Source organism: Homo sapiens, chromosome 20, assembly GCF_000001405.40.
Source record: "Homo sapiens chromosome 20, GRCh38.p14 Primary Assembly".
NCBI classification, from domain to species: Eukaryota; Metazoa; Chordata; class Mammalia; order Primates; family Hominidae; genus Homo; species Homo sapiens.
The window spans coordinates 32,659,435-32,685,520 of NC_000020.11; the positions used below are offsets into that span (position 1 = coordinate 32,659,435).

The window sequence follows — 26,086 nt, forward strand, 5'->3', positions numbered from 1 at the left end:
TGATGTACCTGATTCATTTTATTTCCTCCTCCTGATGACCTGAAGTGATGGGTGGGACCACCATCTTCATTGTACAGATGAGCAAACTGAGGCTCAGGGAACCTACATGAGTGGACCCAGGTGCTCAAAGTGGAGGTGCCTGCAGCAGCCACTATCTTTGAGACTGGACCTGGCTGGACCCCTCATGGGTGGACCTCAGTGAATTCTGCCAGGATCCCAGGAAGGGTGCCTTCCCTCATTTCCCAGATGAGGACTCTGAGAATGAGAGGGGAAGGCCACTTGTCCATGTCCCACAGTGACTGTGTGGCAGGAAGAGGTGCAAGCCAGAGCCTGTGCTCTCAGCTGCCATACCAGGCAGCCTCTTTCACCTGTGAGGGGCCATGGGCATGCTCCCCACCTCCGTGGCTGGCACTAGTAATATCAATTAATAATAATAGATAATAGCAATAATTATTATGACATATAATTATATCAAATGTATTATATTAACATCATCATCATCATCATCATCCACATCAACACAGTTGTGTTGTAACCTGGGGAGTGTGTGTCAGTGGCCAGTGTGCTGTCCTGTATGCCAGCGCATTTGCTCTTCTCAGCAGATCTATAAGTCTTCATTCTGACTTTATTTCCCCCCATTTTAAAGGCCCAGGGAGCAGACCACATGGGGACTACACCTCTGGGGCACAGTTGCTACTCCTGTCCTGTACAGGGCAGCCCAGTGGGAAGCTCTCTGAGGCTGTGCGGTAAGCACCTTTCCCATTGCAGGGAGGTTGGGGGGCAGCTCTCCAGAGGATCTGGGTCCATCTCCCAGCCGAGCCACCCAGCCACAGGATGTGCCCTTCCCAGCAGGAGAAAGGACACTGAATGACAGAGCCAAGGGCCAAGGTGCCAGGAACAGCAACCAGGGTTTCAGGGGATCTGTAACTGCCTCCTCAGCCAGTCCAGGCCCGAGCTTACTCCATGCCCTTTCACTGGTCAATCGGTTGGCCAGCTCATGCCAGGGAGCTCACACCTTCGAGAGGCCACGCTGCTGCCGAAAAGAGGGGCTGCTTCTCCCTGAGTGCCCATGACCTGCCAGGCACTGACTGTGCTAGGCCATCAGCACTGAGCCTCACAAAACCCTTTCAATGGCCCTATTTTACAGAGGAGACAGTGAAGGCTCAGGGAGGTCAAGTGACTTGTCCAAAGTCACATGGACAGGAAGCCTCATAGTTTCCTGGTGGCCAGTTTCCACCAAGAACGTGTGTGTATTAGTCCATTCTCCCACTGTTAAAAGGACATACCTCAGACTGGGTAATTTATAAAGGAAAGAGGTTTAATTGACTCACAGTACTGCATGACTGGGAAGGCCTCAGCAAACTTACAATCATGGCAGAAGAGGAATCAAGCATGTCCTTCTTCACACGGCGGCAGGAGAGAGAAGTGCCAAGCAAAGCGGGGAAAGCCCCTTATAAAAATCATCAGATCTCGTGAGAATGAACTCACTATCATGAGAACCGCATGGGGGTAACTGCCTCCATGATTCGATTACCTCCCACTGGGTCCCTCCCACGACATGTGGGGATTATGGAAACTATAATTCAAGATGATATTTGTGTGGGGACACAGCCAAACCATATCAAGGAGGGAAAGAGGAAGGGACAATCAAGGTGTTCAGAGGGAGGAAAGAGACCCACTGTGCGGGAGGCGGCAAGAAAGGAGGGCCTGCGTCACCAGCTCTGACTCTCTCAGGACCCGACTTAGTCATCGGCCCACCTGTTCTCCACTCATTCATACATTTGTGGGCCTTCTCCAGGTGCCAGGCTCTTTGCCGGGCATTGAGGGCTCAGAGGTGAACCAGGCTCATCTCTGTTCTCACAAAGCTCATGACAGCAGGGCAGAATGGAAAGGGAAACAGATGGGCAGACATCACTTGACTTGGTCTGTATTTATGAAAGGTCTAAGTAGGCCAGGCTCAGTGTTGGGCACTGAAGGCACCAAGTCAGTGAGAAGCTCAAGGCCCCTGCCTTTCTGAAGGATGTGCTCCAGTGGTGTCCAGCCCTGGCCCTCCAGAAACCTTTCTTGCATGACCCCTGAACCCTGAACACAAGGCAGAATTTCTCTGGAAAGACTGGGAGAAGCAGCAAATCTAGGGGTTCTCCATGAATCTTCCTTGGGCCTGGTTCTGGGGTGCTGAGCAGGAATTTGTCTGGGAGAGCAGGGGACCCTGATTAGTGCCTTTCCTGGGGACTAAATCAGGGCCCTGAGAGGCCAGAGCTGTGCAAAGGGGTCATCTGGACTACTGGACGGTCAGCAAGGGCCACCCATTCAGGATGCAGCCACAGATCCATGGGGTTGGAGACCCAGCAGAGGCTCTCAGTCAGGATGGGCCACAGCTCTAACAAAAGGGAGGTGACTTGCCCAAAGCCCCCCACTCCACACCTGTGCTCCCCACAGACAGAAGCATCAGCTCATAGGTAGCACTAGCTCACTCCATCCTAGCCCCCGGGGAGGCCCATGTCAGCGTAAGGCCCATTTCCCAGCCCCAGGAAATGGAGAAACAGAGCCACAAAAGGACTTGCCCAAGAGCACCACCCACTGGAGACACAGGCAGAATCAGAACTGGGAGTTGCCCAGCACTTTCCACCACCCGCTCACGCCCCAGGATGGCAGATCCAGCCTGGTACAGGCGACGCAGGATGATGGCACCCAATCTTGGGGAGCAGCACGAGCCAGGGGCACAAAGGGAAACTCTTTTCCTAAGCTTCCCCTGGTGGTATGGGGGTTTAGTCTTTGTTTTGGGGGCTTGTTCTAAATGCTAAACCTGGCTGACTCTGGGCACACTGCCTATAGGTTAGCCCTGCTCTGCAAGGAGCTATAGAGTTAAAAATAAATAAACGGGCTGGGCACAGTGGCTCACACCTGTAATCCCAGCACTTTGGGAGGTCAAGGGGGCAGGCAGATCACCTGAGGTCCAGAGTTCAAGACCAGCTTGGCCAACATGGTGAAATCCTGTCTCTATTAAAAATACAAAATTAGCTGGACATGGTGGCAGGCACCTGTAATCTCAGCTACTCTGGAGGCTGAGGCAGGAGAATCGATTGAACCCGAGACGGAGTTGCGGTGAGCCAAGATCACGCCACTGCACTCCAGCCTGAGCAACAAAGTGAGACTCTGTCTCAAAAAAATTAACAAACAAATCTCTGTTAAACCTTTGCAATCACCCTGAGATGTTCAACTGAGGGGTCCTTCTCAGTGTGAATGGCTGACAGGAAATCCCAGAATTGCCCCCATCTCAGCAGTCAGGAAGGAACAGCTCTGCCAAGCATGGTGGCTCATGCCTGTAACCCTAACACTTTGGGAAGAGGAGGCAGGAGAATCACTTGAGCCCAGGAGTTCAAGGCCGCACTGAGCTATGATCGCGCCACTGCACTTTAGCTTGGGTGACAGGCGAGACTCTGTCTCTATAAAAAAAAAAAAAAAACAAGAAAGGAACAGCTAGATATATATATATAGATAGATAGATATAAATATAGTTTTTTTTTTTTTTGAGACAGAGTCTCACTCTGTCACTCAGGCTGGAGTACAGCGGCTCAATCTCGGCTCACTGCAACCTCTGCCTCCCAGGTTCAAGTGATTCTCGTGCCTCAGCCTCCTGAGTAGATGGGATTATAGGCGCCCACCACCATGCCCGGCTAATTTTTTGTATTTGTAGTAGAGACGGGGTTTCACCATGTTGGCCAGGGTGGTCTTAAACTCCTGACCTTGTGATCCACCCACCTCGGCCTCCCGAAGTGCTGGGATTATAGGTGCGAGCCCCCGCACCCAGCTAGATTTATATTTTTACGTGGAATTTTAAAAACTACTGAATTCCCTTGGTGGAAATGAGAGTCAAAATAAGAGAATGAGAAAAAAAAAAAAGAATGGCTAAATAAATTATTAATAGAATATTTTACAGTCATTAAATAACTTTAAAGAAAATGTTAATGCTGAGAAAATATTCACCATGTAATGTTGGGGGAAAGCCAGCTACAGAGTATGATTACAATTAAAATGCACACATATATACATATATATATGATCTATATGGAAAAACAAGCCTGGAGAGAAATGTAACAAAATAGCACCATAGTTACCTCCGGGGAGTGGGATGACAGATGATTTTCATTTTCTCCTTTCTACCTTCTTGTAGTTTCCAAATTTTACAATGAGTACAAATTGCATTTATAATTAGACATAAACCAAAAAAGCATGAGTTGGGCTGGGGCTGGATGGCAGGGTAGAGGCTTCACCAGCCCAGGTTCATCCCCTCCACAGCCAGGATGGAGCTGCTTGGGCGCTGGGCTCTGTCCTCACCAGCTGGCCCAGCCAGGCCACAGGAGGCCTAGGACGGCCTGCACCACACTGTCCCCGGAGGGACCAGCCATGGGACACTGCCCTCAAGGAATCCAACCCCTGCCCGGGGCCCTCTGGAGGGTCACTTGTAGGCCATAAATGTCCTGGCTGGGGACACTGGGAAATGAACCACTCAGGGCTGAGAATCAGAACATTCATTATCTGCTGTACGAGAGAAGCCATTTTCTTTGTTCCTTGTTTTTGTTTGGGATGGCTGAGTGCAGCAAGTGGGCTAGGGAGAGCTGGCCTTTGTCACCCTCCCACTGTGGCCCCGCAGGCTCTCAGCCTCCCCATGTGGGAGTGGAGCACCCAGCTGCTCTGGTCTCCCTGGACTTTCTGATCCCAGCGCTCTGGGTTTCTTCTAACCTGGGAGGTGAGGGCCCTGGGTGCTGATCTGCGCCTTAGGGAAGCCAACCAAGTTCACTTAAAAGCAGTGTTGGAAAGGCACTGACAGTGAGATCCAGGCCGGCCTCCTGCCGGGGTCTCCTCATACCCCCACCTCTTTCTCAGCACAGGGTGAGAAGCCAGTGGTCTCCAGCCTGGATCCCCACACAGGTTTCCAGAGAAGGGGCTCCCCGCTTGCCAGAGCCAGCCGTAGAGTTGGGCAAGTTTAAGAACACTGCCCTCACGTCCTTCCAGCCCCAGCCCTGCCACCCCACCTTGGGGTCCTGGAAGCTCCTGCCCTCCTCCTGGGCTATTTTAGCAATCAGGTCACCCGTTGGCTTGCTGTGAGCTTGAGGTCGATGGAAACCCACAGGCCTTTTCTACAGAGCTGGTGGTATCTCCCCCTCCTCTAGATGCAGCCACAGGCAGGCTCCTCAGCGTGAGAAGAGAGGACCAGGCAGTGGCTTGGCAGTCCCCCACAGTGTGGGGCCCCTCCTCTCTCAGGAACTGAGGCCACACGCTGCCACCCACACCATCCCAGCCAGTGGTCCTGCAGATGTGGCTGACAGCAGGGAGGAGAGCCAGTCACAGGGCGTTGGGTGCCTGAGCACCCACACATCCCCACACTGTGCCCCATGGGTGCTGCACACAAGGCCCTCAATCCAGTCTCCACGAGCCCCAGGCAGTGAGTCGATCCTCATTTAGAGCAGAGCTGAGTGATCGGCCAAGGTCACCGTGCTAGTGTGCAGCAGGGCTGAGACAGACTCCGGAGCTGCCCCAGCAAAGCCCAAATCCATTCTGGCTGCACTAGTGTTTACCCAGGACCCCGCCCTTGGTGGCCACTGGGTGTCTGGTCCCTGATCCAAGCTGCCAAGTAAGTTCCCCTGATGGAGCTTGGGGGAGACTTTGTGCCCTGGTTCTACCCACACAGCAGGGTCCCAGGTTCCTAGGACCACGCAAGGCCCAAAGCCCCTCTCTGATGGCCCGTGGGTTCTGCTCAGAGGATTCTGATCACCTACTCCTGTTTGGGCTAAATCCTAAGTAGCAGCAGATGGGGCCCTCTGGCTGAAGGCTGCCCCAGTCTCCAGCTGCAGAATGCGGGACAGTTCCCATCCACCCTCCTCCAGACACCTGACAGGGAGCAGGTGGCCTTTTTGGCCAGCCCCAACCAGGTGCCAGACCAAGAGCAGAGAGCCTGTGCTCAGGAGCCTCCACTCCACCCAGGGAAGAAAGACATAAACACGCACAGGAAAGGGCTTTTGGAGACAGTGCTGGGGAGCCCCAGTGACCAGGCCGGAAACACTGTAGGAGGTGGGAGGGAGATAAGGCCCTGCCCAAGACTGGGAAGAGCAAGGCGCGGTCCAGGAACCAGACAGAAGCTGGTGTGGCTAGAACAGCGCTGCCCAGTGGAAAACAACGCAAACCACAAGTGTGAGCCACACAGGGAATTTGAATTTTTCCAGGAGCCACGACAAAAAGGTTTTTTAAGGCCAGGTGCGGTGGCTCATGCCTGTAATCCCAGCACTTTGGGAGGCCAAGGAGGGTGGATCACGAGGTCAGGAGTTTGAGACCAGCCTGGCCAAGATGGTGAAATCCAGTCTCTACTTAAAAAAAAATTTTTTTTTTAATTAGCCAGAGGCTGAGGCAGGAAAATCGCTTGAACCCGAGAGGCAGAGCTTGCAGTGAGCCCAGATCATGCCACTGCACTCCAGCCTGGGTGACAGAGTGAGACTCCTTCTCAAAACAAACAAACAAACAAAACCACTTTTTTTAAAAGATGAAGTGAAATTAGCCGGGTGTGCTGGCGCATGCCTGTAGTCCCAGCTACTCAGGAGGCTGAGGCAGGAGGATCACTTAAGCCCAGGAGGCAGAGGTTGTAGTGAGCTGAGATCATACCACTGCACTCCAGCCTGAATAACAGGGTGAGACCCTGTCTCAATAAAAAATAAATAAATAAAGTAAAAAAAAAAAAAAAAAAAAAAGATAAAGTTGGTTGAGTGTGGTGGCTCATGTGTAATCTCAGCATTTTGGGAGGCCGAGGCAGGAGGATCTCTTGAGCTCAGGAGTTCAAGACCACCCTGGGCAATGTGGCAAAACCCCATCTCTACAAAAAATACAAAAATTAACCAGGCATAGTGCCACATGCCTATAGTCTCATCTACTCAGGAGGCTGAGGTGGGAGGATCACTTGAGCTCAGGAGGTTGAGGCTGCAGTGAGCCAAGATCGTGCCACTGCACTCCGGCTTGGGCAACAAAGTGAGACTCTGTCTCAAAAAAAAAAAAAAAGTCCAGGCGCAGTGGCTCATACCTGTAATCCCAGCACTTTGGGAGGCTGAGGCGGGCAGATCACTAGGTCAGGAGATCGAGACCATCCTGGCTAACATAGTGAAATCCCATCTCTACTAAAAATACAAAAAATTAGCCAGGTGTGGTGGCATGTGCCTGTAGTCCCAGCTACTCAGGAGGCTGAGGCAGGAGAATTGCTTGAACCCAGGAGGCGGAGGTTGCAGTGAGCCAAGACTGTACCACTGCACTCCAGCCTGGGTGACAGAGCAAGACTCCATCTCAAAAAAAAAAAAAAAAGATGAAATTAATTTTAATTTATATATATATATATATATATATATATAGTTTTGTTTTGTTTTTTAGAGATGGGGTCTTCCTTTGTTGCCCGAACTCCTGGCCTCAAGCAATCCTCCCACCTCGGCCTCTCAAAGTGCTGGGATTACAGGCATGAGCCACCACGTACAATTTGATATATTTTATATAATCCAATGTAACTAAAATATTATCATTTTAATATAATCAATACAAAAATTAATGAGATGATTTACATCCTTTTTTTTGACACTCTGGCTTTGAGATCTGGTGTGTATTTTATAGACTGGCCACATTTCAAGTGCTCAGCAGCCACAGATGGTCAGTGGCCACTGGCTGGGGCTGCACTGGGGCAGAGCACAGTGAGTAAAGGGGAGGAGATATGAGGTAAGGTCGAAGCAGTGGGAAAGGGTCACCTGGGATTTTATTCCAAGAGCTTCGAGGTCGTGGGAGGGCTTTAAGCAGGGGCATCATGTGATCTGACTACTTACTGTCTTTGAAGCTGACTCTGGCTGCTGCCTGGAGGGCTTCGGAGCAGGTGAGATTGGCTGCCCAGTGAGATGCCCAGGTGGGCTGAAGGTGGCCTAGAGCTGCGTTGATGACAGCCACAGAAGAGCTTCAGGGAATACTGACAAGGCTGTGGGCAGGCAGTGAGACAGGGAGGCAGGCCTGGCCGTCTGCTTTTCCTCTCCCTCTCTTTGACCAAAATTCCATCCATGTAACCCTGTTCCTATAGCTGCCTTCCTTCCAGGAAGAGATCTGCGCAGTTGCTACTTAACAAAGCCTAGAAGAACCCAACCAGAATAATTTTGCCAAGGGCTAGAATTGAAATATCTGCCACCTTCTGTAGCTCATAGAATCACTGTATTTCTGAGCAAGAAATCTTTTATTTTTTTAGACAGAGTCTTGCTCTATCACCCAGGCTGGAGTGCAGTGGGGCAATCTCGGCTCACTGCAACCTCCACCTCCCAGGTTCAAGCAATTCTCTTGCCTCAGGCTCTTGAGTAGCCGGGACTACAGGCGCGTGCCACCACACCCAGCTAATTTTTTCTATTTTTAGTAGAGACAGGTTTCACCATGTTAGCCAGGATGGTCTCGATCTCCTGACCTCGTGATCTGCCTGCCTTGGCCTCCAAAAGTGCTGGGATTATAGGCATGAGCCACGGCGCCAGGCCTAGAAATCTTCTAGCCACTCAGTATCATACAGTGATTAGGTGGTCTCTGGGGCTAGCCCGCCTGGAGTGAATCCCTGCTGCCCCTCTAACTAGCTGTGTGACCTTGCACAAAATACTTAATTCTTCTGGACTTCCATGTCTTCATCCGGACACCAGAGCATTAATCATCTGTATCTCTTGGGATGACTGGGAGGGGTAAATGGGTCTGTAAGAGTGGTTACACCAAGGGCACTCCTGTTATCTATTATTGTTGATGTTGCCACTGTTATTAACCTACAAGAACATTGAGCCCCAGGGATAGGAAGGGACCTATCCAATGTTACACAGCAAACCTGAAGCACAGCAGGAAGCAGAATCTAAATTTTTAACTTCTGAGGTGGGGCACGGTGGCTCACATCTGTAATCTCAGCATTTTGGGAGGCCGAGGCGGGTGGATCATTTGAGGTCAGGAGTTTGAGACCTGCCTGGCCAACATGGTGAAACCCCATCTCTACTAAAAATACAAAAATTAGCTGGGCGTGGTGGCGGGTGCCTGCAGTCCCAGCTACTCGGGAGGGTGAGGCAGGAGAATCGCTTGAACCCGGGAGGTGGAGGTTGCAGTGAGCCGAGATTGAGCCACTGCACTCCAGCCTAGGTGACAGAGTGAGACTCTGTCTCAAAAAAAAATAAATAAAAAAATAAAAATAAATTAAAAAAATAGCTGGGTGTGGTGGTGCATGCCTGTAATGCCTGTAATCCCAGCTACTAGGGAGGCTGAGGTAGGAGAATTGCTTGAACTCGGGAGGTTGCAGTGAGCCAAGATCGCCCCACTGTAGTCCAGCCTGGGTGACAGAGTAAGGCTCCGTCTCTAAATAAATAAATAAATGAATAAATGTTTAATTCTGGCTCTTACTCAGAGCTGCCTCTCAACTGAATTTGCTGGTTGTCCCTTCATCCAGACATTGACCATGTTCTTGCCATGTGCTGGTGCCACGTCCACAGCTTGGGGGAGACACTAAGATGGTACAAGACTCATCTCTACAAAATCGAAGTTTTCCAGTTCAGAAGGAAAAGCTCTTTCTCAAACACTCTTGGCCACAGCGGGAGGAAGCCTTAGTGCATGCAGAGAGTCGTGTGCTGGTAACGGGGCAATTAAAACAGTACTGGTTGAAGAACCAGGAGATCCTGGGGTGCCCCAGCCTCTGCCCAACTTGCTCTGTGATGCAGGCAAGGGGCTTGGCCTCTCTGGGACTCAGTGCCCTTGTGTGTGCTGAACTTGTGTTAACTGGGGGCGGACTCTAGGCCCAGACCCTGACTCCAAAGTATGCACAGCCGATTCCCAGGCAGGCTGGGAGGTGTAGCTAGAACTATAGGCATATGCCTCCGAGGACACAGATCCTATGGCCCGAATTTTCCTGGAACACTTCTGGCTGACCTGCTCCCTTCGTAAGAGCCATGTGTGTACTTGATCACACATCCTGGGTTTTAAAATATAATTTGTCACTATAATAAAGTCATGAGAGTCTAGTTCATCCATTTCACAGACCAGTAACATTTCCAAAGAAACTCTGGGGAACCTGCAAAGGACTGAAAGTTGTTATTCTGCCAAGGAAGGCCCTTAGAACCAAACGACAAATGGTGCTGGAAAAACTGGATATCCACATGCGAAAGAATGAAACTGGACCCTTTCCTTACACAACACAAAAATCAACTCAAAATGGATCGAAGACTTAAGACCTGAAACTATAAAACTTACAGAAGAAAATATAGGGGAAAAGTTTCATAGCACTGGCCTTAGTAATAATTTCTTGAATATGGCACCAAAAGCACAGGCAAGAAAAGCAAAAATAGACAAGAGGGACTACATCAACCTAAAAAGCTTCTGCCCAGCAAAGGAAACAAGAGTGAAAGGCAATCTACTGAATGGGAGAAAATATTTGCAAACCATATATGTAATAAGAAGTTAATATCCGGCCGGGCACAGTTGCTTACGCCTGTAATCCCAGCATTTTGGGAGGCTGAGGAGGGTGGATTCACGAGGTCAGGAGATCGAGACCAGCCTGGCCAATGTGCTGAAACCTCGTCTCTACTAAAAAATACAAAACTTAGCTGGGCATGGTGGCGTGTGCCTGTAATCCCATAATCCCAGCTACTCAGGAGGCTGAGGCAGGAGAATCGCTTGAACCCGGGAGTCGGAGGTTGCAATGAGCCGAGATTGAGCCACTGCACTCCAGCCTGGGTAACAACAGTGAAACTGCGTTTCAAAAAATAAATAGGCCGGGCTCGGTGGCTCACGCCTGTAATCCCAGCACTTTGGGAGCCTGAGGCGGGCGGATCACCTGAGGTTGGGAGTTCAAGACCAGCTTGGCCAACATGGTGAAACCTTGTCTCTACTAAATAATACAAAAATTAGCCAGGTGTGGTGGCAGGCACCTGTAATCTCAGCTACCTGGGAGGCTGAGGCAGGGAGAATTGCTTGAACCTGGGAGGTGGAGGTTGCAGTGAGCCGAGATCACGCCACTGCACTCCAGCCTGGGTGACAGAGAAAGACTCCGTCTCAAAAAAAATAAAAATAAATAAAAAATAAACAAATAAATAAAAATAGGCCACGCACAGTGGTTCACACCTGTAATCCCAGCACTTTGGGAAGCCGAGGTGGGCGGATCACGAGGTCAGGAGTTTAAGACCAGCCTGGTCAACATAGTGAAACCCTCTCTCTACTAAAAATATGAAAATTAGCTGAGTGTAGTGGTGGGCACCTGTAATCCCAGCTACTCAGGAGGCTGAGGCAGGAGAATCATTTGAACCCAGGAGGCAGAGGTTGCAGTGAGCCAAGATCTCACCATTGCATTCCAGCCTGGGCGAGACTCCGTCTCAAAAAATAAAAATAAAATAAAAATAAAAATAAAAAATAGGCAAAGGACTTGAATAGGCATCCCTCCAAAGATGACATGCAAGTGGTCAACAAGAACATGAAAAAGTGCTCAACCTCACTGATCACCAGAGAAATGCAAATCAAAACCACAATGAGCCATCAACTTACACCTGTTAGAACTGCCATTATTTAAAAAAAAAAAAAAAACAACAGTGTTGGCAAGGATGTGGAGAAGTTGAACCCTTGTGCATGGTTAGTGGGAATGTTAAATGGTGCAGCTGCTACAGAAAACAGTATGGAGGTTTCTCAAAAAATTAAAAATAGAACTACCATATGATCCAGGAATCCCACTTGCAGGTATTTTTCCAAAAGAATTGAAATCAGGATCTCCAAGAGATATGTGAACTCCCATATTGATTGCATCATTATTCACAATAGCCAAGAGGTAGAAACAACCTAAATGTCCATCCACAGATGAATGGATAAACAACATATGGTGTGTACACACATTGGAATATTATTTAGCCATCAAAATAAAGAAAGCCTGTCATGTGCTGCCATATGGATGAACTTTGATGACTTTATGCTAAATGAAACAAACCAGTCACAGAAGGACAAATAATGCATGATTCCATTTATATGAGGAATCCAAAGAAGAAACAGAAAGTAGAAGAAAGAAAAAAAATAAAGACAAAAAAATTTTAAGTAGAAAAAAGAAAGGGAAAAAATAGTAGAATGGGCCAGGCACAGTGGCTCACGCCTATAATCCCAGCACTTTGGGAGGCCGAGGTGGGCAAATCACCTCAGGTCAGTTTGAGACCAGCCCGACCAACATGGAGAAACCCTGTCTCTACTAAAAATACAAAATTAGCCGGGCGTGGTGGCGCACACCTATAATCCCAGCTACTCGGGAGGCTGAGGCAGGAGAATTGCTTGAACCCAGGAGTTGGAGGTTAAGGTGAGCCGAGATCGTGCCATTGCACTCCAGCCTGGGCAACAAGAGTGAAACTCTGTCTCCAAAAAAAAAAAAAAAAAAAAAAAATAGTAGAATGGGGGTTGGGTTGCCAGGGGCTGAGGGGGAGTGGGGAACAGAGAGTTGCTGTTCAATGGGTATAGAGTTTCAGTCACACAGATAAAAATGTCCGGAGGTCTTCTGCACAACATTGTGGTTATAGTTAACAATACTGTAGCGTGCACTTAAAAATTTAAGAGGAGCCGGGGCAGTGGCTCACGCCTGTAATCCCAGCACTCCGGGAGGCCAAGGCAGGCGGATCACAAGGTCAGGAGTTCGAGACCAGCCTGACCAACACAGTGAAACCCCATCTCTACTAATAATACAAAAAATTAGCTGGGCATGGTGGTGGGCGCCCAGTAGCTATTACAGTAGCTAGCTGTAATCCTAGCTACTTGGGAGGCTGAGGCAGGAGAATCGCTTGAACCCAGGAGATGGAGGTTGCAGTGAGCCGAGATCCCACCACTGCACACCAGCCCAGGTGACAATGCAAGACTCTGTCTCAAAAAAATAAAATAAAATAAAATAAATACACACACATAAAATATATTACATATATATTATACATACATACATACATACATATGTATTAGCTGGGTGTGGTGGCGCATGCCTGTAGTCCTAGCTACTCAAGAGGCTGAGGCAGGAGGACTGCTTGAGCCTAGAAGGTCAAGGTTACAATGAGCTATGATTGCATCATTACACTTCAGTCTGGGTGACAGAGCAAGACAATATCTCCAAAAAAAAAAAAATACTTCTTCAATTTAAATAGCTTTAGTTTTGTGGGAAAAACCAAGAACCACAGTGTGCCTGTCTCTATTTCTTGCTCTTGTTCCCTTTTATTCCCTCCTGAATTTCTCACCACACCAGGCCTTTTTGTTCTGGGACTCTTCCTCCTCTACCCTCCCCACTCCCTCCCCTGCCTCCCCCAAGCTCACAGCATTTCACACAGTTCCAGAAAAGTGCTTCTCTCCCTGACTGCCACCTGGCCCTGCTGTCTTCCCACAGGGCTGTGGGCTCCGGCAGCAGAGACCTTTTCCTACTCCCTGTGCCCCTGCATCTAAACAGACCCAGCATAGGAGAGGGGCCTGGTGAAGATGGCTGGTAGGAAGGCACTAGACTCGGGCTTTGAGAGCCAGAAGGCCTCAGGGAGTGAAGAATATGGGACTGGCAGGATCTAGGGGCTGAAATGAGTGGCCATAAAAGAAGCCCCCTCAAGACCCAAGACTCCTTGGTAGTAAGGGCTGGGCATCTCTCTGTGTCCCACCTCACACCCTGGGGCGGGTGAGGAGAGGAAGTGGAGGGGTTGCAGGGTTGGGGGAACAAGCGACAAGCCCGCCCTCCTGAGGAGCCCCAGGGCTGGTACAAACGGCAGGAAGAGGCTGAGCTGGGCCCCTGGAGCCACAGAGGCAGGAGGGAGTGAAGAGGCCCTGTGGCTGCCATGGGGGACAGTCCAGCAGCCTCCTCCTGCTCCCCTCAAGACTGGCCGGAGGTGTCTCAGCCCCCGTAGCCAACCACAGAGAGAGCACAGGGCGGAAGTGGCTGGCGCCTCAGCCATAGCTGCCGGAGATGGGCTCAACGGCCACACGGTCCCCACATTCGGGGAGCCTCACCGCAGCCCCGTGGGCACAGAGACCCAGGTGGAGCTCCAAGGGACACATGAGGCACAGGGAGTCTAGGGCAGCAGCTTCAAAACCACACACTGGTCTTTCTGCTGGCTTTTTTGGTCACCATCCCCTGCTTAAAACCCCAGGGTCACCCCACACTTTCAGCACAGACAGGCTGCATTCCACCCACCTGCAGGCTCCTCTGCCCGGCATTCATCTGTGCCACCTGCCCCGGCCATTTGGCTCCGACTGCAATGACACGTTTGTCTGGGAGATTCTTCAAGGGCACATAAAACATATCTGCCTTTGCTCACTGTGATGTCTCCGACGCAAAGCAGAGAGCCCGCCAGCGTAGCCACTCAGAGCTGAGTGGTGGTGGAATGAGTGAAAAGGCTGCAGCTGGAAGGGCTGGGAGGCGGGGGGCAGAGTGGGGGCAGCCAAGGGTTTTGGGGATCACACAGGCTTGGGAAGAAAAGTCAGCTCAGACCCACTGGCTATGTGACCTGGCCCTGCAGGTCCAACTGTCAATGGGTCTAACCCCGCCCACCTCAATGATCTGTGAGAGCTGAGCGGGGGAGACACTGTTCAGAAAAGACTGGGTCCCTGAAACTGTTGTTGTCGTTTAATCCAGCCATTTTTTTTAAGTTTGTTTAAGAGACAGGGGTCTCCCTATATTTCCCAGGCTAGTCTTGAACTCCTGAGCTCAAGCAATCCTCCCACCCTGGCCTCCCAAAGTGCTGGGATTACAGGCGTGAGCCACCGTGAGCTTGGCCCCAGCTCTTTCATTTATGGACAGGACATTTCAGGAGAGGGATCCATCCAGTCTCATCTTGGTGTTTAATATTTAAATGCACCAAAAATGGGGTGCCAATTGGTGCCAACTTTTTGGAAAGAGACTTTGATGTAATCTGCCTAAAAGTAAAATGCTCATGTTCAGCAACTCAGCCCTTCAGCTTCTAGGAATTTTGTTCTGCAGGGAAAAAAAAATGCTGTATTTGTATTATTAATATTGTTACTGGGTGGCAGGGGGAGGAAAGTATTCAGTGTTTTCAGAACCACCCACCAGGAGGCGCTTTTGCATCAGGGGCCCAATCAGGTTAGCCCAGAGCACCTGGATTTAAGTAGCAAAAACAAATGACAATCTCTAGCCCAATGTCTCAAGAACATTCCAGTCTTTTACTTCATCTCACCCTCGAAACTTCCTTTTTTTTTTTTTAGACAGAGTCTCACTCTGTCACCACGGCTGGAGTGCAGTGGTGCAATCACAGCTCACTGCAGCGTCGACCTCCCAGACTCAAGCAATCCTCCCACCTCAGCTTCCTAGGTAGCTGGGACTAGGTGCACATCACCATGCCTAGCTAATTTTTGTATTATTATTTTTTTTTTTGTAGAGATAGGGATCTTGCCATTTTGCCTAGGCTGGTCTTGAACTCCTGGGCTCAAGCAATCCTCCTGCCTCGGGCCTCCCAGTTCTGGGATTACAGGAGTGAGCCACTGCGCCTGGCCATGACCAAAACTTTTATTAGAGACAGTATCTACTTGCTTGGTGCCCTCTCTGCCCTTCCTCCTAAAGAATCCCCCTTCAAAAGGAAAAAAAGGCCATTCAAATTTGAGAGAGACTCAGGGGTCCAGAGTAAACTAAGTTAAATGAAATCAAACCTGGACCGTGGGCTTCAAGTGTGTTATTAACCCCCTCCCTCCTGTCCTGCTGCATCCTTGGCTCTGCCCTTTCACTTACGTCCACGTCTCTAAACCCAGCCGTTCTTCCTTCTCCCTTGGGTCTCTGTGTCTTCTGTCTGCCTCAGGTGTCCTTCCACACGCTACCCACCCGCCTAGGGAATACTCCTTCTGAGTTCCTGGGCAAACCACCCAGTTCTCCTCCTGAACCCTCCCCCAAAAGGCTCCCTGCACGTTCCATCTCATGAGGGCCAGGCTGTGCCCAGGTGAGGACACTCATCACCTCCACTTTTCCCATCACACTGGTGTGTGGAGCGCCCACCCCACCTGGGATGTAGAGGGATGCTCCTTGCCCAGCAGTGCTTCTCCCTGGGCCTCAGTTTCCCAGTCTAGGGTACCCCCACACCTCTCTCAGCTTGGGCGTGCTGTACTTTACCCCATGTCAGCAGTTCTCATTAAGCTAGTCTTTAAAGGAGGAAAAAATAATTTTAAAAAATCTTCCTTTGTTCTGGCCTCCGGTCTATTTACAATGACAGTTCATGAGGAACTGGGTTCTGAGCGAAAACAAACAAAATGCCTCCATTTTAGAAGGGGTAAGGTCTGGAGGGGAAAGAGGGAGATAGGAAAGAACCTGTGGTGGCCTATCCTCTCCCCGTGACAGGAAGGCCTTTGAACAACACAATTCTGATTGTGCTGTTGCTACCTCATTTCAAATCCTTCCCCCTGCCCCACCCTCCAGAAGCAGCACCTGGCATGGTAGGCAAAGCCCCATCAGCTCTGGCCTGCACGACTGGCGCTCCAGCTTTGGCTGTCCTCCCGCAGCCCTGGGATCCCTAAGCCTAGAATACGCCACGCCCATTCCCCCACCTTCCCCACCAGCCGAATTCCCCTTCCGCTGGGGAGACTCAGGTTGGGGGTCAATCTTCAAGAAGCCTCCCTGTCCAACCCACTGAGGCAGGTGGCCTCAGGGTCAGGGCTCCAGGTTTCCCCCACGCCCACCCCACTAACACACACACACACACACACACACACACACACACACAGCCACCTGGGAATTCCAGGGAGCACAGCTGCGAGGGCAGCAAGGACCACAACAATGCTGACCACAATAGTGGCTCCAGGAAGGCCTGTTCTTGTTCCGGGCGGGAGGCCTAAGGCAGTGATGCTCCCTGGCAGCCTCTGGAAGCCCAGGGGAAGCCAGTTTCTATGTGGGATTCCCTGACTCTGGCCCATGGGCTTAGGAACACATTGTGTCCCTCCACTCCCAGGGCACTGAGTCCCAGCTGTGGGGTCATCTGAGTCCCACAGCACACCTGCTCATTTGTTCATTCATTAGTTTATTCATTCATTCAACAAATATTTATTCAGTGCCAGGCTTTGGGCCAAGAAGAGAAAGCCACTAAAAAGAGCAACAGATAAATACACGGTTGCACGTGATGTCAAGTGTCATAAGGCATGATGGGGTGTGAGAGGATGCAGAGCCAGGTGGCCAGGGAAGGCCTCCTAGAGATGATGCTTGAGCTGAGATGTGACAAATGAGGAGGTGTTAGCCTGGGAGGCCACTGGAGGCCGGAGCAGCAGAGGGAGTGCAGGCATGGAGCGGCTGGCCAGACACGAGGCAAGAGGAGAAACAGAGGCTGGATCATGCAGGACTGTATGATAGGTGGGGAAACCGAGGCATGGAAACTGGTGACTTGCACATGGCCCTGCAACTAGTTAGATGCTCGCTTCCTAAGTGCCACCCACCCCAGGAACCAGGCCTTCCCATCTGAGCATGGGATGCCTGCACTGCTCTTCTTCGCAGTGGAACAAAGGAACCCGTTTTTTTTGTTGGTTTTGAGACGAAGTTTCGCTCTTGTCGCCCAGACTGGAGTGCAATGGCATAATCTTGGCTGACTGCAACTTCCGCCTCCTGGGTTCAAGCGATTTTCCTACCTCAGCCTCCTGAGTAGCTGGGATTTACAGGTGCCCACCACCATGCCCAGCTAATTTTTTGTATTTTTAGTAGAGACGGGGTTTCACCATGTTGGCCAGGCTGGTCTCGAACTCCTGACCTCAAGTGATCCACCTGCCTCGGCCTCCCAAAGTGCTTGGATTAGAGGCATAAGCCACCGCGCCCGGCCTCAAATGGTTCTTAATCACCTAGTGTCTGTCATGTGTCCACCCGGGGTTACCCAGGGCAGAGACGGCATCATCTCCATCTCAGAGGCCCAGGGCCGGGTGTATTGTAGGTGTTTAATAAACACTTGCTTAATTGGATCTTGGTATCTCCAGGATGTAGGCCCCGATGCTGCCCTTGACCACATGGCTCCCTGAGTGTTAACTGAACCAGCAGAGTTGGTCTTGCAGCACGTGCATCTCATTCAGGCCCACTGCATTTTCTGGCCCTCACTGCTAAGAGTCCGTGCAGAAATGTGAGTTCTCAGCAGTGCTGAGAGCACTGTGTGCCCCCAAAGAGCTCTGACTCTCAGCTCCCCACATTGGTTTCACCTCTAATTTGTACCCCTCTAGCTCAAACCTTAATGGCGAAAGCTTGACATCGCCTTTGGCAATTCAGAGGCTATTACTTGTCAGCACTATCTACCTTGTCAGTGCCTGGGAGAAGCAAACCCCACCTCATAAGCATGTATCAAGCAATCACTTATCAAGCACCTCCTAGGTTCGGGATCTTTTAGAAAGCCCCACTTGGGGAGGTGCGATGGGGAATGGCTCTGGGCCTCCCCATAGGCCAGTTTATCAGCTCTCACAGAGGAGCACAAACCACTGGCTCAGGACGTGCAGGTGCGAAGGAAAGAGGAAGGGCGTGGTTGGCAGCCCCTCTTTCCCTGGGCAGTCTGAGTCACATTCCACCTCTCCCAGTGTTACAGGGTTTGTGAAATGACCACAGCTCCTCACTCTTCTGAGGAGAAACCAGAGGTAGAGGAGAAAGCACAGAGTAGTGCAGAGGGAGGAGCCCTGCCTCCCCTCCACACCCTTCTAAGACTGTTAACATGTCCTTCCAGCAATGTCAGCCAGTGTCAGCTGTGGGGTGCATCAGAATTCTGGAAGCCCAGAAGTCCAGGAATTTGCCATCCAGACGGTGAGACATATGCATAGAGAAGTGCAGCACAGGCTGGGTGCAGTGGCTCACACCTGTAATCCCAGCACTTTGGGAGGCCGAGGTGGGAGGATCACTTGAGCCCAGGAGTTCAAGGCCAGCCTGAGCAACAGTCTCAATAGTGACTGTCTCTATTTAAAAAAAAAGAAAAAAGAAAGAAAGAAAGAAAGAGAGAAGTGGCTGGGCGCGGTGGCTCATGCCTGTAATCCCAGCACTTTGGGAGGCTGAGGCAGGCAGATTACCTGAGGTCAGGAGTTCAAGACCAACCTGGCCAACACAGTGAAACCCCATCTCTACTAAAAATACAAAAATTAGCAGGGCGTGGTGGCACGTGCCTGTAATCCCAGCTACTCAGGAGGCTGAGGCATGAGAATTGCTTGAACCTGGGAGGCAGAGGTTGCGGTGAGCCGAGATGGCGCCATTGTACTCCAGCCTGGGCAAAAAGAGTGAAACTCGGTCTCAAAAACAATAAATAGAAGTGGCCGGGCATGGTGGCTCATGCCTATAATCCCAGCACTTTGAGAGGCCAAGGTGGGCGGATCCCCTGAGGTCAGGGGTTCGAGACCAGCCTGGCCAACATGGTGAAACCCTGTCTCTACTAAAAATACAAAAATTAGCCAGGCATGGTAGTGGGTGCCTGTAATCCCAGCTACTCAGGAGGCTGAGGCAGGAGAGTCACTTGAACTCAGGAGGCGGAGGTTGCAGTGAGCCAAGATCGCACCACTGCACTACAGCCTGGGGGATAGAGCAAGACTCTGTGTACAAAAAAAAAAAAAAGAAGTGCAGTGCAGGCAACTGGTGCTCAGATGGGAAGGCCTGTCAGGGCACTGTGTCGGGGACAGAGATGGTTGCCGCCATCCTGGGACAGTGTCCAACATAGTGCAAGAGATGGGCTGGGTGAGGCATAATGCCAGCGATGACAGCAACCACCCCCAGTGGTGCTGGCTGTCGTTGACTGTGGTTCACTGTGAGTGCCAAACACACATGCTTTGCTGCATTTACTCCTCCAGCCCCGGAGTTGCCACTGCTCCCATTTCAGAGATGGGGAAACCGTGGCAGGGAGACTTGCCCATGGGCCCCCAGGCAGTAAGAGTAGGGCTGGAGGGAAGAAACTGGCAGGCTGGTTCCAGAGACCTCCCTCTTAGGTATCACTGAGAGGGGCTTCCAGGCACCTCTGTGTGGTTGAACTTGCTGATCTGTTCAAACTGCTGTCATATAAGGACGTTCAACTTGATTTTCAGCATCACCAGCAACCTTGCTGCTCCTTCCCCCTCTGGGCTAGTAGGGTGAGAGCTCTTCTCAGAGACAAAGACCAGGATGCAGGAGCAGGCATGGCTTGGCCTGCAGACAAGACTGGTAGGAGGAGGAGACCTGGACCCAGTTGCTCTAAATCTAGCAAAAAGATTTTCTAGGCCCTCCAGAGGCTACCTCCTCCCCTTAGCTCCCACTGCCTGCAGCCGCCTGCAAATTGCTTAGAAGTGTTGATAATTACAGCAGGCCCAATCCCATCAACACCTGAGGGAGAGGAAACTGGAGGGTCCTCCTTCTGTAAGCTTATCCCAGAGCCCACTGACATCCATCATCTCCCCTGATCCCCTAGGATGGAGGCAGGAGGTGGGACATGGTCCCTGTTCTCTTGAGCAGGCTAGTGACTTGCCCAAGGTCATGCAGACCCTTCCAGGGAATACTGGGATTAGGGCTCAGCTTTTCCTGCTCAGCTCAGCACCCACCGATAACCAGTAGCGCTTTTCCTTTTCTGAGCTGAGCAAGCCTCAGAGGGCGAGTGAAAGAGGAGCCACCGGAAGGTGCTCTGGCAGGTCAGATTGCCCACGCATGCCAGTGTCCAGCCCCCTGCAGAACTCTGGGCCTTGGTGAGGTCATTTCAGAAGGAAAGAACGTTGGCACTAACAGGGATCTCAAAAGCACCCAGTGTAGGCCAGGTGCGTTGGCTCATGCCTGTAATCCCAGCACTTTGGGAGACGGAGGTCAGGAGTTCAAGATCAGCCTGGCCAACATGTTGAAACCTTGTCTCTACTAAAAATAAAAAAATCAGCCTTAGCCAGGCATGGTGGCATGCGCCTGCAATCCCAGCTATTCCAGAGGCTGAGGCAGGAGAATTGCTTGAAAATGGGAGGCAGAGGTTACAGTGAGTCAAGATGGTGCCACTGCACTCCAGCCTGGGTGGCAGAGTGGGACTCTGTCTCAAAAACAAAAACCAAAAGAAGCACCCAATGTAAGCCTTTCGTGTTATAGATGGGGTCATAGAGGAACAGAGGATGAACAGAGTCTGCCCAAGACTGTTAGCAGGTTAGACCCAAGCCCCTGACTCCCCATCCCCCACTTCTCTTCTGGTGCCTGACAAGAGAGTAGTTTCCTACACATTCACCTTCTTCATAGGCTTTGCCTCCAGGAGCCAGGGAAGTGTACAGAATGGCTTTGGGGCTGGGCAGACTTGGTTTGGAGCCACATCCCCCTACTTGGTTGCTGTGTAACTTTGGGCAAATGAATTTCCCTCTCTGGGCCTGTTTCCTAATCTGTAAAATGGGGAAAATAATAACTGCTTCTTAATGTAAGAATTCAATGAACTAAGGTGTCCACAGGATGGAGAGCTCTGCAAAGGCCCCAGGCAGGCAAGGGACTGAAGACAGGCATTCCTGAAGGCTAAAAGGTGATCAGGCATTCCACAAATCCCCCTTCCTCTTTCCCTCTCTGATGCCAAATACACCCAAGCTCAGAGACACATCTTCTGCCTGGGCTTTGAGACAGGCCTGAAAACCCTCCCACACTGTCTACAAGCACAGAAGAGCTTCTCTCTGGAATGATTGCTCTGACCTGGAGGAGATGACAGAGCCAGCACTAGGAATCTCTGGGGAGAGCGCTCCAGGAGCTGGTGCATGGGTGGAAAGGTGGAATTCCTCCCCACTGCTGCCACCCCCAACACTGCCCACCCCAGGAGCCTCCTGGCTTCCAGGGGTGGCTGCAGAGACCTGCTAGGTGGAGGGGTTTTCTCAGGGAGCCTTCACTTGCTCCCACAGACACATCTGCTGAAAGCAGTGCAGGCAGGCATGAGGCAGGCAGTGGAGCTGCAACTGGCTGACAGCAGGCTGGAGAGGGGAGAGGGAGAAAGGGAGCGAAAAGGGGGAGGGGAGACTGGGTGAGTCGTACTCCCTTCCCCACGGCCCACCCCGACAAGCTAAGAAAAGCTCTGGGGGGAGAAAAGCTGCTAAGATGCACAGTTGCCCTCCCCTCTGTGGGAGGCCCTTCCTTCCCCAGAGCCAGCTGCCCCAGGCAGATTAGCATTGGGCTCCGGAAAAGCAGGCCCACACCAGCCCATGGGAGGCCGCCGGCTGAGTCAGCTCCTCTACCTGGCAGGAAATCATTCATAAAAATGACACCTGCCCAGAGCCCAGCGCCCAGCCTCACCAGCCAGAGTCTCCAGCCACACAGCCACACTGCCTCCTGCCGCCTCCCTCCCACCTCCTCCCAGCCACTGTACAGGGCAGACCTCTTTCTCTTTCTCTTTCTCCTGGGAAGAAGAATAATGAGACTGATGTGAAATAAGGCCAGCTCGGCCTTCGTCAATCAGTATTTACGGGTCGCCTGCCCTGGGGACAATAGTAGAGTCAAGAAGAGCAACCACTTCACTCAATGATGAACAAACATCTGCGACACAGCTTCCAGAGGTTCTCACTGTCCCAGCCACGTGCGTGGCGGACACTCTTTACGTTCAGTTTCTGTGTGGATGACCAGAGGCTCCTTAGACACACAGCTAGACACAGATAACTGGGCCAATCCTCCCACAAAGGGGGTCCGTAGAGCAGTGGTGACTTACACAGGTCACACGTGAGGTCAAACTTTAAGTCCATGTCAGGCCGGTCGCGGTGGCTCATGCCTGTAATCCCAGCACTTTGGGAGGCCGAGGCAGGCGGATCATGAGGTCAGGAGATCGAGACCACCCTGGCTAACATGGTGAAACCCTGTCTCTACTAAAAATACAAAAAATTAGCCAGGCGTGATGGCACGCGCCTGTAACCCCAGCTACTCGGGAGGCTGAGGCAGGAGAATCGCTTGGACCCGGGAGGCAGAGGTTGCAGTGAGCCTGAGATTGTGCCACTGCACTCCAGCCTGGGTGACAGAATGAGACTCTGTCTCAAAACAAAAACAAAAAACAAAAAAAAACTTTAAGTCCATGTCCCTAAAATGTAGACAACATTCCATCTTGTTCTTTCTTTTTTTCAGAGACAGGGTCTTGCTCTGTCACCCAGGCTGGAGTGCAGCGGTGCCATCACAGCTCACTGCAGCCTCAATCTCCTGGGCTCAAGTGATCCTCCCGCCTCAGCCTCCCGAGTAGCTGGGGTTACAGGAATGAGTCACCACACCTGGCCCATATTGTCATTCTTACTTCCCTTCGTTCAAACCCTGATGCACTCTCTTATCTGGGAGATAAAATGCAGGCTGCTCTCCTGCTGAAGATGTTACATCCTAATCACAGCCCTGCATGTCTGGGCCTGCGATCTCGGCCCTCATATCGCTCCCCCTTGATCTCCTTCACCAGCCGCCCTGGCCTTGTCGTTTCTCAAACTCACAAAACATGCTGTCACCTCAGGGCCTTTGCACGTGCCTTCCCTTCTGTCTTCCATCATTACATGTCAGGCTCCTCTGCATCCTGCAGGACTAGGTCACCTGTCAGCTTCTCAGAGACCTTCCCTGACCACTTTAAGAATCTGCCTCCCCCTGGCCGGGTGCGGTGGCTCATGCCTGTAATCCCAGTACTTTGGGAGGCCAAGGTGGGTGGATCACAAGGTCAGGAGTTCGAGGCCAGCCTGGCCAATTGGGTGAAACCCCGTCTCAAAATTAGCCAGGCGTGGTGGCACGCACCTGTAGTCCCCACTACTCAGGAGGCTGAGGCAGGAGAGTCACTTGAACCTGGGAGACACAGGTTGCCATGAGCTGAGATCGCACCACTGCATTCCAGCCTAGGCCACAGAGTGAGACTTCATCTCAAAAAAAAAAAGAATCCGCCTCCCACAACACACACACACACACACACACACACACACACACACACACACACACATTATTCCCTATCCCTGCATGAAGACAGCTCCCATCCTAACTCACAGAACAAGTTCATTATGGACTTCTTTACCCAGCTACTGTCTGTCTCCCCAGGCAGAGTCAACCCACAAGGTTGATTTTGCTCACCCTGGTGTTCCCAAGGCCTGGTACAAAGTAGATCCTCAGAAAATATTTGTTAAATGAATAATTAAATGACTTCTCACTGTAAGCAATTGGCACCACTTAGGCTAGCACTCAAGCACCTTCTATCCTCTTGACCATACCACAAAGTTAACCAGTTACACGATCAGAACACCTCTTCTTCATTTGTTCCTTCTTATGATGTTCAGTAGAGAGAGGCTCAGAAGAGCACTGCAGGGTGAGGCTGGAGCTAGGAGTTTGGAACACAGGTGCAGGGCTGTTCCACCCACCACACAGGTGAACTCCCAGAGGGCAGGGGCCTGTTGATGGTGGATGGGAACATTCAGTAAAACATTCCATAAACTGTTGCCTTTTTTTTTTTTCTGAGACAGAGTCTTACTCTGTCGCCCAAGCTGGAGTGCCGTGGCGTGATCTCAGCTCACTACACCCTCTGCCTCCCAGGTTCCAGTGATTCTCCTGCCTCAGCCTCCCAAGCTCCCAAGTAGCTGGGATTACAGGCACACACCACCACGCCTGGCTAATTTTTGTATTTTTAGTAGAGATGGTGTTTTGCCAAGTTGGCCAGGCTGGTCTCAAACTCCTGACCTCAAGTGATCTGCCCGCTCGGCCTCCCAAAGTGCTGGGATTAGAGGCGTGAGCCACCGCGCCCGGCCTTGCCATCATTTTTGTTCTCCTCTGTGAAGAGGACAGCCAAGAGTGTCAGAGGTCCTCAAACACTTGCTGCTTCATAAGGAGGGTCTCCCCCTTCTTACCAATCTCTAATCAGCATTTACAAAGCAGCCACCAGGACCCAGACCTCCATTAGAAGCCCAGGCAAATATAACCAAAGTGTATGATCTAGGGTTCTCAACACGTACGTGCACATCAGAGTCACCCAGGGAGCCTGTTAAAAGCACAGATGGGCACAGTGGCTCACGCCTGTAATCCCAGCACGTTGGGAGGCCAAGGTGGGCGGATCACGAGGTCAGGAGATCGAGACCATCCTGGCTAACAGGGTGAAACCCCATCTCTACTAAAAATACAAAAACTTAGCCAGGCGTGGTGGCACACGCCTGTAGTCCCAGCTACTCAGGAGGCTAAGGCAGGAGAATCACTTGAACCCAGGAGGCAGAGGTTGCAGTGAGTTGAGATTGCGCCACTGCACTCCAGCCTGGGCGACAGAGCAAGGCCCCATCTCAAAAAAAAAAAAAAAAAAAAAACCACAGATGTCCTAATCACTACCCATTCCATCCTATTTTGATTTCACAGGTCCAGGCTGGGGCAAGGAGAGCTCCCAGGGGATTGTGATGTGCACCAAACACTGAGAACCCCTGGCCATGCAGGGGAACTCCCTGAGGAGCTTCTGCAAACAAGGATGCCAGGCCCCTCTGCTATCAGAGATCCTCATCTTAAAGAGCCTGGGCTGGAGACCTAACAGTGAAATTTTTCAAGCATTCCTCAAATGCTGTTGTGCAGCCAGGGTGGGGGGTGGGGGGGATCACTTGAGGTCGGGAGTTCAAGACCAGCCTGGTCAACATGCTGAGACCCTGTCTCTACTAAAAATACAAAAATTAGCCGGGTGTGGTGGCAAGCACCCATAGTCCCAGCTACTCAGGAGGCTGAGGCAGGAGGATTGCTTGAACCCAGGAAGTGGAGGTTGCAACGAGCCGAGATCGTACCACTGCACTCCAGCCTGGGCAAGAAAATGAGATGCAGTCTCAAAAGAAAAAAACAAACAAAGGAAAACGATTCCTGCATTTTATCATCAGGAAACTGATGCAGGAAAAAAAAAAAAAGGTCTTGCCGGGTGCGGTGGCTCACGCCTGTAATCCCAGCACTTTGGGAGGCCGGGGCGGGCAGATCACCTGAGGTCAGGAGTTCGAGATCAGCCTGGGCAACACAGTGAAACCCCGTCTCTACTAAAAATACAAAATTAGCTGGGCATGGTGACACATGCCTGTAATCCCAGCTACTCGGGAGGCTGAGGCAGGAGAATTGCTTGAACCTGGGAGGCGGAGGATGCAGTGAGCCGAGATCACGCCATTGCACTCCAGCCTGGGCAACAAGAGTAAATCTCCGTCTCACCAAAAAAAAAAAAAAGAGAGA

The 26,086-nt window shown here is 51.2% G+C and overlaps 1 protein-coding gene across 1 annotated transcript in view, besides 18 other annotated features; it reads right to left on the reverse strand.

Annotated features, from left to right (window-relative positions):
• Positions 1 to 14,507, reverse strand: part of C20orf203 (chromosome 20 open reading frame 203) — a 42,317-nt gene extending 27,810 nt beyond the window's left edge. The window contains exon 1 of the mRNA NM_182584.4: positions 14,198 to 14,507. The gene's annotated coding sequence lies outside the window, so the exon portion shown is untranslated. The remainder of the gene's footprint in view (positions 1 to 14,197) is intronic.
• Positions 5,028 to 5,596: an enhancer, noted in NCBI's record as "H3K27ac-H3K4me1 hESC enhancer chr20:31252264-31252832 (GRCh37/hg19 assembly coordinates)". NCBI's record gives its function as "activates a minimal SCP1, AML or CMV promoter by ChIP-STARR-seq in primed H9 embryonic stem cells {active_cell/tissue: H9 hESC(primed)}" and the evidence as "EXISTENCE:reporter gene assay evidence [ECO:0000049][PMID:30033119]".
• Positions 5,397 to 5,586: an enhancer, noted in NCBI's record as "active region_17720". NCBI's record gives its function as "activates an Ori minimal core promoter by ATAC-STARR-seq in GM12878 lymphoblastoid cells {active_cell/tissue: GM12878}" and the evidence as "EXISTENCE:reporter gene assay evidence [ECO:0000049][PMID:35858748]".
• Positions 5,597 to 6,164: an enhancer, noted in NCBI's record as "H3K27ac-H3K4me1 hESC enhancer chr20:31252833-31253400 (GRCh37/hg19 assembly coordinates)". NCBI's record gives its function as "activates a minimal SCP1, AML or CMV promoter by ChIP-STARR-seq in primed H9 embryonic stem cells {active_cell/tissue: H9 hESC(primed)}" and the evidence as "EXISTENCE:reporter gene assay evidence [ECO:0000049][PMID:30033119]".
• Positions 5,597 to 6,291: a biological region, named in NCBI's record as "H3K27ac-H3K4me1 hESC enhancer GRCh37_chr20:31252833-31253400".
• Positions 5,821 to 6,291: a silencer, noted in NCBI's record as "fragment chr20:31253057-31253527 (GRCh37/hg19 assembly coordinates)". NCBI's record gives its function as "represses an EF-1alpha promoter that drives an FKBP-Casp9 reporter gene in an ReSE screen in phorbol 12-myristate 13-acetate-treated (for megakaryocytic differentiation) K562 erythroleukemia cells {active_cell/tissue: K562(+PMA)}" and the evidence as "EXISTENCE:reporter gene assay evidence [ECO:0000049][PMID:32094911]".
• Positions 7,386 to 7,886: an enhancer, noted in NCBI's record as "H3K4me1 hESC enhancer chr20:31254622-31255122 (GRCh37/hg19 assembly coordinates)". NCBI's record gives its function as "activates a minimal SCP1, AML or CMV promoter by ChIP-STARR-seq in primed H9 embryonic stem cells {active_cell/tissue: H9 hESC(primed)}" and the evidence as "EXISTENCE:reporter gene assay evidence [ECO:0000049][PMID:30033119]".
• Positions 12,755 to 13,254: an enhancer, noted in NCBI's record as "H3K27ac hESC enhancer chr20:31259991-31260490 (GRCh37/hg19 assembly coordinates)". NCBI's record gives its function as "activates a minimal SCP1, AML or CMV promoter by ChIP-STARR-seq in primed H9 embryonic stem cells {active_cell/tissue: H9 hESC(primed)}" and the evidence as "EXISTENCE:reporter gene assay evidence [ECO:0000049][PMID:30033119]".
• Positions 15,205 to 15,274: an enhancer, noted in NCBI's record as "active region_17721". NCBI's record gives its function as "activates an Ori minimal core promoter by ATAC-STARR-seq in GM12878 lymphoblastoid cells {active_cell/tissue: GM12878}" and the evidence as "EXISTENCE:reporter gene assay evidence [ECO:0000049][PMID:35858748]".
• Positions 16,126 to 16,828: an enhancer, noted in NCBI's record as "H3K4me1 hESC enhancer chr20:31263362-31264064 (GRCh37/hg19 assembly coordinates)". NCBI's record gives its function as "activates a minimal SCP1, AML or CMV promoter by ChIP-STARR-seq in naive H9 embryonic stem cells {active_cell/tissue: H9 hESC(naive)}" and the evidence as "EXISTENCE:reporter gene assay evidence [ECO:0000049][PMID:30033119]".
• Positions 19,188 to 19,787: an enhancer, noted in NCBI's record as "OCT4-H3K27ac-H3K4me1 hESC enhancer chr20:31266424-31267023 (GRCh37/hg19 assembly coordinates)". NCBI's record gives its function as "activates a minimal SCP1, AML or CMV promoter by ChIP-STARR-seq in naive H9 embryonic stem cells {active_cell/tissue: H9 hESC(naive)}" and the evidence as "EXISTENCE:reporter gene assay evidence [ECO:0000049][PMID:30033119]".
• Positions 19,788 to 20,386: an enhancer, noted in NCBI's record as "OCT4-H3K27ac-H3K4me1 hESC enhancer chr20:31267024-31267622 (GRCh37/hg19 assembly coordinates)". NCBI's record gives its function as "activates a minimal SCP1, AML or CMV promoter by ChIP-STARR-seq in primed H9 embryonic stem cells {active_cell/tissue: H9 hESC(primed)}" and the evidence as "EXISTENCE:reporter gene assay evidence [ECO:0000049][PMID:30033119]".
• Positions 20,387 to 20,986: an enhancer, noted in NCBI's record as "H3K27ac-H3K4me1 hESC enhancer chr20:31267623-31268222 (GRCh37/hg19 assembly coordinates)". NCBI's record gives its function as "activates a minimal SCP1, AML or CMV promoter by ChIP-STARR-seq in primed H9 embryonic stem cells {active_cell/tissue: H9 hESC(primed)}" and the evidence as "EXISTENCE:reporter gene assay evidence [ECO:0000049][PMID:30033119]".
• Positions 21,586 to 22,185: an enhancer, noted in NCBI's record as "H3K27ac-H3K4me1 hESC enhancer chr20:31268822-31269421 (GRCh37/hg19 assembly coordinates)". NCBI's record gives its function as "activates a minimal SCP1, AML or CMV promoter by ChIP-STARR-seq in primed H9 embryonic stem cells {active_cell/tissue: H9 hESC(primed)}" and the evidence as "EXISTENCE:reporter gene assay evidence [ECO:0000049][PMID:30033119]".
• Positions 21,586 to 22,784: a biological region, named in NCBI's record as "H3K27ac-H3K4me1 hESC enhancers GRCh37_chr20:31268822-31269421 and GRCh37_chr20:31269422-31270020".
• Positions 21,933 to 22,227: an enhancer, noted in NCBI's record as "tiled region #7023; K562 Activating DNase unmatched - State 1:Tss". NCBI's record gives its function as "activates a minimal TATA promoter and a strong SV40 promoter by Sharpr-MPRA in K562 cells {active_cell/tissue: K562}" and the evidence as "EXISTENCE:reporter gene assay evidence [ECO:0000049][PMID:27701403]".
• Positions 22,186 to 22,784: an enhancer, noted in NCBI's record as "H3K27ac-H3K4me1 hESC enhancer chr20:31269422-31270020 (GRCh37/hg19 assembly coordinates)". NCBI's record gives its function as "activates a minimal SCP1, AML or CMV promoter by ChIP-STARR-seq in primed H9 embryonic stem cells {active_cell/tissue: H9 hESC(primed)}" and the evidence as "EXISTENCE:reporter gene assay evidence [ECO:0000049][PMID:30033119]".
• Positions 24,165 to 24,666: an enhancer, noted in NCBI's record as "H3K27ac hESC enhancer chr20:31271401-31271902 (GRCh37/hg19 assembly coordinates)". NCBI's record gives its function as "activates a minimal SCP1, AML or CMV promoter by ChIP-STARR-seq in naive H9 embryonic stem cells {active_cell/tissue: H9 hESC(naive)}" and the evidence as "EXISTENCE:reporter gene assay evidence [ECO:0000049][PMID:30033119]".
• Positions 24,667 to 25,166: an enhancer, noted in NCBI's record as "H3K27ac hESC enhancer chr20:31271903-31272402 (GRCh37/hg19 assembly coordinates)". NCBI's record gives its function as "activates a minimal SCP1, AML or CMV promoter by ChIP-STARR-seq in naive and primed H9 embryonic stem cells {active_cell/tissue: H9 hESC(naive and primed)}" and the evidence as "EXISTENCE:reporter gene assay evidence [ECO:0000049][PMID:30033119]".